Below are 12,305 nucleotides of genomic sequence, written 5' to 3'. Positions count from 1 at the left end.
GCGGCTGGATGTCGAGAGGAACGTACCGGCGTAAGAGCACATTGACAGCCCCAGCAGACTGGCAGGCCATCAACTGGCAGAACGACACTAAGTTTGGCCAGGGTGGTCGGAGGAGAGCCTGGCCCTGAGTGGACCGACTCGAGGGGAAAACCACCTTCCCACTCCATCTCCCTTCTGGCTCCCCCATGGGCTGAGGGCTACTTCCACTGAATAAAACCTTGCACTCATTCTCCAAGCCCATGTGTGATCTAATTCTCCTGGTACACCAAGGCAAGAACCCCGGGATACAGAAAGCTCTCTGTCCTTGCGATAAGCCAGAGTGTCTAATTGAGCTGGTTAACACCAGCCGCCCACCGACGGCAAAACTAAAAGAGCACTCTGTAACACACGCCCACTGGGGCTTCAGGAGCTGTAAACATCCACCCCTAGACACTGCCGTGGGGTTGGAGCCCCACAACCTGCCGGTCTGCATGCTCCCCTCTAGAGGTTTGAGCAGCCGGGCACCGAAAAAGCGAGCCACACCCGCTGTCGCACGCCTTGCCAGGGGGACAAGGGAACTTTTCCTTTCAGTGAGGCCAAGATTTCTTTTGTTCTTTAGCCAATTAATTTGCTTAATATTAGATAATAATGCTATGTAAACCTGATAATGTTAGAATAATCTATTCGTACAGTTGAAAAATAACACAGGTAGGATAGATCTTTGTTGCTCATATGTCCATTGTGTTGCTCCGCTTGCAGTGCTGACTATTCCCTCTCAAGCTCTGATCGTGCTCAATCTCAGCACATTTGCCTCATTCTCATTTTTTGTCTTCTGGTAGATATGTTTTTGGCGAACCATATTTTACTCATCCCTTCGCCCTAATAACTAATATAAACCCTGTCCCAGACTGTGCTTAATAAATCTTGCTGAATGGCTGAATGAATGAATGAAATCCAAAGCTCAGTACTGAGAACCAGCGGCTGTAATTTAACAAGCTTCTGACTTAAAAAGACTCTCTTCTCTCTGTCCTGTTCAAAGTCATGGTTTTAAAACATCTATATTCTTTATACCTCTGTCCTCCCTCCAAAATCTTGCAGAGAGGAAGGTGGGAGGACAGATAATGGATATTTTCTTTGCTCTGTGAAATGGGTCAGACTCTCACTGGGCACACAGGCAATCCCAAGACCTTTCAATCACCCCATAACTATTACCAGGCATGGGAAATACCAGTGTGGACTTGCCACACACTCCACTTAATGTATGCATTCCATGAACACTTGCCATGAGCCCAGCTTCTTGCTCGGTTCAAGGAATACAAAGCTGAATAGTGGCGGCCTTCCCACTGAGACCTCCTCAAATCTCTCCTACAAAGCAACGACAGCTTTCTCATAAAGAACAGCAGAAACTGTGTGTATGGGAGTATGAGAGAGGGAGTCATAGGGGGAGAAAAAGTTTCTGATGGAGTTTTGATAGGTGGCAAGAAGAGGAAAAAAACTCCCTCCCCAAAATGCAGAGGCAAAGAGGAGCCTCATGCTAGGGGGTGGTTAGGGAGTAATTTTACAGTTTTTAAAGATAATTTTAGAAAGACTACCATGGCAAAGTGGCTAGGGCATAAAGCAGTGGGAAGAGAGTGGAGACAACTATACTTCCCCTGAAGGTGTGTGTGTGTGTGTGTGTGTGTGTGTCTGTGTATAAGGGTGGGAGCAATTCCTTGATTCTTTCAGTTCATTCACTTCTCAGCTAAAAAACTTCTGTTTCTAGTTTTGTATTTTTGTATCCTCAGGTGAGGTTTCTGCAAGTCAAACCCTTATGGCTGAATTTTATGTTTGAATACATTTTTCCATTGGGCACAGCTAGTAGCTGCATCTTGATGTCTACTTTCATTGAGAATCATAACTGTATTAGAAGAAGGAAGACATTTTTATTTTTGTAGCAAACAATTAGAAAAGGTGAAGATAATATATATATTTAAAGTGGATGTATTTATATATATTTAAAGTGGATACCATTTAAATATTTGGATACTTATATTTATATTTAAATAAGTGGATACCATTATATATATTTAAAGTGGATACCATCAGGCTCATACACGTAGGAGGCTCTCAATAAACTTGATGGTGGTTTAACCAAGTCTAAAGTTCTTGGTACACAACTGCACAAGTGAGACTCAGAACAGTGAAGTAGGTCCCCTAAATTGACTTAGTCAGCCAGTCCCAGTGCTAGCTAGTGTAAAAATCCAGGACATCCAAATCCAAGGCTTTCAATACCTCATGTCTTTATATTATTTATTTATTCATAGGTATTTATTAAACACCTTTTATGTGCCAGGCATTATGCTTATTCATAATTTTTTGGCATTGATCCAGGCCGCAATCAGAATGAAAGCACAATAAAAAGCCACAACTTAATTATCTTATTTTTCAGGGGCCTAGTCTTACATTCATTACATCCCCACATAATCTCCAAGAGAGATTTTTTTGCTGGCATTCTTCACCATCATTCAACTGTAGCAGTGTGAAGGCAGCTATTAGTGCACAGGTTTCTGTGGTTATTTGACATAAAATAAATGTCAGCTTTGTAATCTTAGTCCTTATGAAACAAGTGTTAACTAAATGGAGTGAGAACAACTCACATTTAAATTGCTTCTATTGTCCAATCCTTCAAAGGTAAAATGAACTCCTCCAAGTCACCATCAATGTTCTCATCAATAAGCAGACACTCCAACTGGGTATGCAGGGAAGATCTCTGGGTCTTTTAAAGACAAAATAACACACACTAATGAGTTAGAGAAACATATTGGTTTGTGACTCAAAAATGTGATTTGTTATCAGAAGAAATAACAACTAAAGCTGAGTTACTACCTATTCTGCAAACACGATTGCTCCCAGGAGTGACTTTCTGAAGTTCCAAGAATTAGAGGACTGCTTATCAAATTAAATAAAAATTAAATATGTTTACAATTTGTTTTCATGCATCCCAGAGTCTTTTTACTATTCTGTTGGCCTTTCTTTCTCTTCCCATGTCCATATAAGAGTTCGAAAACTCTACTGCAGATTTCAGCTAGCAATTGTATTTTAATCAAGTGTGAGAACAATTCTCTAACTTGCTACAGTTCAGAATCTTTTTCTACCAACCAAATGAAGAATGAGTTTGCTCAGGCTGTTACAGGGCATCATGAGTGGCCCCAAGTGATTCAAAGACCACCTTTGAATTGGTGTTGGTGTTTGGGCCTCTGGCTTCATCCCTTACCATGGGTGACCCTCAACCAGCCATTGGTGTGGCCAAGTCCTCAGCATCCTTGCTTCCGAATGGGAACGGATGCCTCTTGGGTTGTAGGAGAGTCTGTTAACTGTCAGCACTCTGAGTGAGCTGGGCCCTGCCATCACGTCTCTCCTCCCCACTGTGCCTGCCCCCCAGGGCCTCCACAATAGGCCCCTTGGTGCCTGCAGGGCCATCACTGAACTCAGCAGAGCACAGACACAGAGTTTATGCTTCATGAGGGATGCAGGAAGGTCAGTGGCACTGAGGAAAGTTAGGGTCACAAAATGTTTTAAATGGACTGCAGCCATAGCCAAGACCTGACCAGAAGGCTGTGGCCAGGCTTCTTGCTCCCGATGCAGCCCCTTCAGGTGAGGCAGAGGACGCAGTGGCTCAACACTGGGCCAGAGCCCAGAAACACAAGCCTTATTTTGGCTCTACTGGTCCCCATTGCATTTTTTTTCTCCTGTCCTCTGGCCTTCACAGCTGGGGTCACGAAGGCCCGAAGTGGCCATGGCGAGGTCGGTCCTGTGTTAATCCTGCCTTGCAGGAGTGGAGGGTTTCTCAACCTCAGCAGCAGGGACATTTGGGGCAGGGTAACTTTACTGTGGGAGGCTGCCCTGTGCATTGTAGGCTGTTAACAGCATCCCTGAGAAACACTCCCTGGATACCAGTAGCACTTCCCCAGTTGTGATGACCAAGAATGTCTCTGGTCATTGCCAGGTGTCTGCTGGGATTGGCCCTGGGTCAGAATCACGTTAGGCATGATGAACGTGACTAGTCCTGTACTGCCTCCTGTGCAAATCTGCTTTCGCACATTTGCCTGCTACTCCAGCCACATTAAACTTCCACTGGTCTCCAAATGCAGGGGCCATGGCACACCGCTGGCTCTTTACGCCTGCGTTTTCTTCCACAGGACTTTCCTATCTTCCTGGTCTGTTTGGAAAACTCATTCTGACTTGATAAGCCCCTCAAGGGTGTCTCCACAAACATTCCCCTGATCAGCTCAAACAGAATCAGTGGCTTCTTCCCTTGTATAATATTCCATTAGCCCACAGTGATCCATCATCCCGCAAGGGAAGCCTGCCATGGAGTTCCTGTCCCAATGGAAACAGAGGTCCTATGCCATTTCACTAGAGTGTGTTGTGTCCTATGAGAGGAGGGTTCCAGTGCTCCAGGACCCTAACAGTGAGGGTCTCTCTATGTCAGGGACCAGTGCAGGCCTCCTAAGGCAATGACAGCCCAGGGAGATGTGAAAGTGAACAGTGGTTGTTCAAAAGAACAGCAAGCATGGAAACACTGTGCTCTTGCAGCAGGGACTCATTTAAATCGTTCACATAGAAAATCCAAGTTTACTGAGCACCAAATATATTCCAGATTCCAAGTGCAGTGTGCATGGGAAGCAAGCCCTAACCTTGACCCTGAGGCGCTCATACGAAATGAGACCTGCCTATGCCTTGCTGTGTCCTTTGTCTGCCCTGGCTTGTTTCACTGCTTGGGGATGGGGGCTCCGGTCATAGCCATGCTGGCCATATGGAAACAGTGCCAAGGATGGTCTGTGTTTCTGGTTTCACTCACCAGAGGCTTGAGGGTCCCTTTAGCATGTGATTTTCATCTCTGGGAGGGAAATCTGGGCTGGCAAACAATTTAGAAGTCGTGGGGTTGAATAATACTGCTGAGAGAGAAGGAAGTAATGTCAAGAATAGATTCACAGGAGTTGGTATTCTTTTTGAGGCTCGTTCTTTCCCACCCCCTTCTACTTTCTGGCCACTGCTATGGACCAAATGTTTGTGTCCTTACAAAATTCACATTTGAAGCCGTACCCACCAATATGATGATATCAGGAGGTGAGGCTTATAGGAAGTAATTATTTCCTGAAGGTGGAGTCCTCATGAATGAGATTAGTGCCCTTATAAAAAGAGACACAAGAGACATGATCTCTCTCTCCATTGTGTGAGGGCTCAGTGAAAAGGTGGCCTTCTATAAACTGGGCAGGGAGCCCTCACTAGGAACCGAGTTATCCAATACCTTGATCTTGAACTTCCAGCCTCCCAAACTGTAAAGAATAAATTTCTGTCGTTGAAGTTACCCACTCTGTGATGTTTTGTTATAGCAACCTGAGCTGGCTAAGACACCCACTGGAATCACAGTTTAATTGAATATGGTAGTTGGATAAAATTTGTAAATCATAAAAATGTGCCACCTACTTGGTGTGTATTTTCACATGCTTTTTACAGAAATCCTGTAATGCAGAAAATTTCCCCTTTCAAGTGAAGAAATTGACAGCACAGTGATGAACTTTCTCTAGGGGTCACAGCCAAGAATTGGTGGACTCTGCATTCAAACCTTTTGCTTAGGGCTGCCCCCCCCTGCCTGAGTCCCAGCAGAGGTCAGAGACACCTGCAGGTGGCCTGAACAGGGGAGCAGGCTTGTCACAAGGGAGCAGCTTTGGGTTTAGCAGTTACGATGCAGCCACTGGGAACTTCTGCTCATCTGGCCTGACTGGTTGGCTGAAATGGCTCTATCCTTGATGAAAACCTGTTGGAAGGAAATAGGAATACAGAGGACATTGCCAAAGACCCCTAAATTTGCTGCTCCTCATCCCTTGCGTGGGAATGGACTGAACCTTGATATGTTGCAGTCTCACCCCTGGAGAGAAGAATTTCTCAACTCCTATGGGCCCAGGACTCCCAGGGAGAAGAGCATCTGGGCCTGATGTCTCTCATGGCAGGCACTCGTGTGCGAGTCTGTGGTTACACCCACCCACACCTTCCATGTCACCTGACAAAGGTGCGCTTTCTAGTAACTCATTGCAAAATTTATGGGAAAGGAAAAACATCTAGTCTGATGTGAGATGGATAAGTTGGTTTAATAAGTATGGGTTATGGAATCATAATAATGGGGAAAGAAAAAAGACAAAAATAAGATTAGGGCACCTGGAGTTTAAATGCAAGTAAGAATAAAAGCAAGATAATTAAAAAGTCATATGTTTTCTCAAAGCTTTGGTCTGTGTCCTGGTGTTTTCAAGGAAGCTGAAGGTACCCTGATCAGTCGGGGGCACACCAGGACAGAGCCAACACACAATGATTCTAGGAGAGACTGCTATGCCTCAGACTGCTTTCATAGCCAGACAGTGGCCCCTTGAGTGTGGGTTGAGTGTGGACTCAGTCTTCCTTTCTGCAGGGCTTGGGGGAAAACCAGGCCTAATATCCAACAAAGAACATTAACTCAGCTAGTGAAAAATGGAAGTGACCTCACCACATGCCGTATTATGAAAGTAGCTATTTTTTAAATAGCTCAACTGCACAAATGCCAAGGCTTGGATCCCTCTCTTAAAGTCTTATAGAGGCCTTGTAACCAACTCCTGGCTAATCTTGGCTGATAGTTGCTGCTTTCCATCTGCCGAGCTGTCAGGGGATTGTTTCCTTTGTTAAAACTCACAGGGTGAGGTGGAGAAGAACAACCGTTCATATTTCTGTACTTTGTGTGTGCTCCCTTCTCCCCCTGGAACATTCTCTGTTATTTGTCACTTGGCAAATTCTCATTCTTATGCACCACCATCTGCATCTCCAACTGAATCATCTCATCCTCAATGCACTTGCTCCCTTTTTATTCTATTAATACAATGTTTGGTGCAGCCCCATGGTCATTATCATTTGTGCTCTAATTCTGCATTCATGTACATCTTTACTAATAAAAATAGAGAACATCGATCCAGAACTTGCTATGTACCGGGCGCAGTGCTAAGCATATTGTTCGTATTATTTTACCTAATTCTTGCAACAATATTTTCAGGCAGCGCTATCCACATTGTCACCACTTGACAGAGGAGAAATTGACAGCTAGGTATGCACTTGCCAAGGGTCACACATATGGAAGGGTCAGAGCCAGAATTTAAACCCAAGCAGTCAATGATCTCACTTATATTTGAAATGGAAATAAATGGAACTCACAGACACAGATAGTAGAATGGTAGTTGCCAGGGGCTGGGGTTGGGGCTGGGGCTGGGGAGATGTTGGTCAAAGGGTACCAAGTTGCAGTTATAAGACGAATAAGTGCTGGGGAATCGAATGTACAGCATGGTGACTATGGTTAATAATAATGTATTGTATGCTTGAAATTTGCTAAGAGAGTAGATCTTAAGTGTTCCCACCAACCCCCACCCCACACAAAAGGCAACTGTGTGAGGTTATGGATATGTTAAGTAGCTTGGTCGTAGTGATCAATTCACAGTGTGTACATATATCAAATCATCACATATATGCCTTCAATATATACTGTTTCCTTCTGTCAATTGGATCTCAATTGGGCTGGGAAAAATAAAACAAACCCAGGCAGTCTGGCTCTAGAGGCGCGATGCTTTCCTGCCATCCTGCCTGCTCCCAGGACTCTGTGCTCCCAGAGCCCAAGGCGGGTTCAGGCCTTACCCGTCTTTGCATTCACACCCCCTCCCCTCTCTCATAAAGACCCTGGTCATCCATCCTTGGATTCACTCCTGCACCTCTTTCAAACATGGAGGGACATAGAGAATTATGTAGTTGAGAAGCACCTGGCCCCTGTGTGCTTTGATGTCCACGCAGTGATGACTTCTCATTTTATGGTGTGGGCCAAGAGAATCAATCCCAATCTTCTTTAAGTAGTTCCCCAGCCTCTTGTTTGCAGGACCAGCAAGAGAATGGGCCAGCAGGCCACTTTGTGTATCTTTCTGACGGGCTGTGTGTGAGATAGCTGGTCCTCACTAGCCTGAAAACCTGAGGGAGGAAGAGTGCTACATCCCAGCTGTGCCCCTGGTGCCCACCTTGTAGGAGAGCCCTAGGGAAGCTGCTTCCTGCTGGTATTGCACATCCACAGCCCATTACTGAGAGAAGAGATTGTAGCAGACTGAAGTTTGCCAATGTGAAATCACAGGGTGGGAAAGCAAGATGTCCGTCACTGATTAAATTTAAAATAACAACAACAATAGTAATAATAGTAAAAAGTGGCTGGATGCTTCTATGCTTTATGTGCTGTGCCTAGGGCCTGCCATAGATCATTTGCTCTTCATAGCAACTCTGGGCTATGTCATATTGCTCCCATTTATAGATGAGAAAACTGAGGTTTAGAGATTAAGTAACTTGTCATTGGTTAACAGGTTAGTGGGTGGTTGGTCTGATCTTAAATCTTATTTTTTAGAAAAATTGGAAAATATCTTCCTTCATGCTTTTAGTCCATTTGGGCTGCTAAAACAAATTACTATAAATGGGGTGGTTTATAAACAACAGAAATGTATTTCTTACAGCTCTGAAGACTGAGAAGTTCAAGATCAAGACACTAGCAGATTTAGCATCTGGCAAGGACTCCTAGCCTTCTCGCTGTGTTGTCCCATGGTGGAAGGGGTGAGGAAGCTCTCTGGGGTCTCTTTTATAAGGATGTTGACCCATTCATGAGGCTCCATCCTCACGACTTAATCACCCCCAGAGGCCCCACCTTCTAATGCCATCACCTGGGGAGTAAGGATGTTAATATATGAATTCTGGGGGGACACAGACATCCAGAACACAGTACATTCCTTCTATAAGTCCTGAGCCTGGGCCTGGCAGACGCTGAAGCATACATATCTGTCCTTGAGAGAGCTCCAGCCAAGGAGCACAGCAGGGTAAGGTTCCTGGAAGGCTGTTGTCAGTGGACAGGTACACAGGTTAGGACAGATCTGGGAGAGAGGAAGGGCCCAGGAGATACTGAAGTGATGCCTCCAGGTGTAAGGCCTGGGGGGGCCAGGTGGAGACAGGTGGCAGAGAGACTGGGAAGGAGGCAGAGCCAAAGCCTCTGTCTGGATGAGGCTTAAGAACGAACAGAGCAACGGGGCAAGAAGGACAGGCAGTGGCCACCCAAGAAGGACGGCAGAGTTCTGAATTTCATGAATGGGGCAGCCCTGAGATGAGAAGAGGCTGAAAGCAGAGGTTGGAAGTTGAGAATCAGGGCCTATTTATTTAGTTGGGACCACAGCACACTTTTACTGCTGTCTAGGTTGTTTTGCCTTTTAATGGAACCAGGCTTGAATAAACAGGTTTTGTGTACAAAAGAGTCTGGATAACTCTTCTTTAGTAAGCCAGAAGATCAGTCCTTGTGGGCTCCTTCACATGGGGCAGCAGTTGGCAGAAGGGTCCTTGCTCACAACTCTCCCCTCCCCGGAGATCACAGTTTCTGCCTCCTGGGCTATGTTCAACCTGCAGTGCACTCCTCACCCAATGGGAGGGACTAATCAATCTGTTTGGGCTGCGGATACTTCAAATTGTAATTTCTGCCCTGAGGCATGGGGGTTTCTAAAGTCTTAACGGAGGGGAATAAAGATCATTGTAGGTGAGACAATCCAGGGACATGTCCTGGGGATCTTGGCTGTGTCACCTGCACTGATACTGAATTCCCCTAGAATGCGGGCAGGAGCTGGGGAGGTGATCCCAATACCTCACTTAATGTGGGGTGGGTGATTTGGATTGACATAGGTGGCCAGGATGGATTGAGGGTGAACCACCACATGCCATGCGCTTCAAGGGACATATCATTTTTTTCATGCAGATGAAAAAGCAAAGCCATTTCACAGTTTACATTCTACTCAAATACAAAAAGAAAAATAAATAGATTTGCTGGCGATCAGGAGTTTAATTGGCTAGTGGGGTCACAATGTGTATAAACACTACAGTTGTTTTGTTCCTTTGGATTTTGGGTTACAAACTGCAGTTTGCTTATTTTAGGGACTTTTAGGGATTTTCCAAGGCCAAAGTTGTGTATGAGCCAATCATATGACAATTGTTCTCTCTTTATCATTCTTAAAAATCATTTAATAGAAAAGTAGAGAGCAGACTTAGGAATATAATAAAATTTGGCTCCTTTAAATTGAATACATATTTTCTGAACCTCAAATAGATAATTTCCAGAAAAGAATGGCTATAATAAGGCATTTATTGTTACAAAATTAGGTGGACCAAGAGGTTACTTATAATATTTATGAGAAGTAGCTCAGTCACGAATGGTTTCATGCCACTGGTAATATTAGGTAACTTTTTCAGTCCTGACCCAAGTATCAATCACTTCTCTGCTCCATCACCCTAGTCCCCACCAGCTCTGTGAGACAAGTGAGGGAGGGTTCTAGGTATCCCCAGTTTGCAGCAGAGGATATTGAGTTCTGATGAGGTGTTTTTCATGTGCACTCTATAAAACTGTGCCACTGCTTGGCATTGCGACGAACTCCATTCTCTTGAGCTCATAGTACGCTTAGTTAATGAGCTGAGAAGTGGAAAAGTGTGTTGAATCAGGACAGGATGATGCTGGGGAGCCGAACAGGGTGATGCAGCCCCGTGGCAGGTGTGTGGGGTGAGCCAGCCCACACCTGCCATGCCCTGATTCTTCATGTCTGTGTCCTTTCTCCAGAGCTACAGCTCACATTTGCAGTTGGCCTAAATAAAGTAACACAAGTTAGAATGCGTCAGGTCCATAGCTTTACCTGAAGGGAGCTTACAGGGAGTTCCAAGGCAGGGAAGCCTTGTTTCGTTCTCCAAACTCATTCTCACAGTTTTGTTGTCATAGGAGTTGATCTCTCAACCATGCACTTCCTGTGTGTGCAGACTCAACATTTCCTAAACTGAACTCTTTTGGAGATGGTGTTCACTTGAGCTTCCAGAATTATCTCCCAGAAACCCTATGTCCAGGGGCCAGCCAGTTGTCTCCTCTAGACTCCTAGACAGCTGCCCTGATCTTGCCAGCCCTAGATCATTCCTCATAGATGGATCAAGATGATGCCTTTGCCGTCTCTGCAACAGAAGCTCCTACTTCTCACTTCAGACAAAAGTCCTAGAGTCAGCTGGTGATCCTCAGCCTCTGGAGACATCAGTGGTTCTGACACTTTTCTACAGCAGTATCCCCACTGAGAGGTGAGCAGGCATAATGTGCCATTTTGGGTTTTTACCCTTAAGGTCTGGGCCTCACGCATTATGTTGCTCTGAAGCTCAGTGTTTTGAATTTTTAAAATCCCATGTTACTACAAAGCATATGCATGTTTGATTCAAAATGTAAATTTATTTCTATTTGCAATATTGGGAAACTAAGTAATTCAGATGGGTCCTCCTGGGCAAAATATAAGAAACACTTGGCCGGGCTCGGTGGCTCATGCCTGTAATCCCAGAACTTTGGGAAGCCAAGGCAGGCGGATCATGAGATCATGAGTTTGAGACCAGCCTGGCCAACATGGTGAAACCCCATCTCTACTATAAATACAAAAATTAGTTGGGCGTGTTGGCAGGCACCTGTAATCCCAGCTACTCGGAGGCTGAAGCAGGAGAATCATTTGAACCCGGGAGGTGGAGGTTGCAGTGAGCCGAGATCATGCCATTGCACTCCAGCCTGGGTGACAGGGCAAGACTCCATCTCAAAAAAACAAAAAACAAAAAACAACAAAACAAAACAAAACAAAACAAACAAACCAAATCAACCAACCAAACAAAAAAACACTTTATGAAAGGCACTGGAGGACTAATAAATCAGTGGAGAATAGAAAGCCAGCACCCAGGGAAGAAGTAGACAAGGAAGGTGAGCTGGAGTTAGGGATGTTTTTCCTCTTCAGTTTCTGTCAATTCTAGAAGGGCTGGAGGGTGGAGGTGGTGAAGAGCCTGACCATGGCTGGGCACTCCTCCAACCCCAAGCTTGGGGTGAGCTCTGAAAGTCTGGGCCTTAGGGGTGAGGGCAAACTCAAAATGGTCCAGTTATCCCTGGGACTGAAACTCGTCTTTGAATCATCTCAATCCTTGATTGAAGTAAAAGTGTCTGCAGGTTGCTAGCATGCTGGCCACCTGCCAGAAGTGGAGGCAAATAATATCTGAGAAAGGAGATTATTGTACAGTCTTTCATATACAATGATAGTCACTCAATCATAAACAACCAGGTATAAGCAGGCAGAAAACTATGAGATCTAAAAGAAAAAAAGACATCACAGAAAAGAGCAAAAGTCATACAGGGAACTTATGGAATGTTATCTTAATATATTGACTAAAAATAACTATGCTAATATGCTCAAGAAAATAAAAAACAAAAC

General features: G+C 44.9%; 1 annotated feature.

Moving 5' to 3' along the window:
• Positions 3,304-3,803: an enhancer, noted in NCBI's record as "H3K27ac hESC enhancer chr7:47162015-47162514 (GRCh37/hg19 assembly coordinates)". NCBI's record gives its function as "activates a minimal SCP1, AML or CMV promoter by ChIP-STARR-seq in naive H9 embryonic stem cells {active_cell/tissue: H9 hESC(naive)}" and the evidence as "EXISTENCE:reporter gene assay evidence [ECO:0000049][PMID:30033119]".

The sequence above is a fragment of the Homo sapiens genome, chromosome 7 (assembly GCF_000001405.40).
Source record: "Homo sapiens chromosome 7, GRCh38.p14 Primary Assembly".
In the NCBI taxonomy this organism is placed as follows: domain Eukaryota; kingdom Metazoa; phylum Chordata; class Mammalia; order Primates; family Hominidae; genus Homo; species Homo sapiens.
This window is presented reverse-complemented; position numbering and strand designations above follow the sequence as displayed.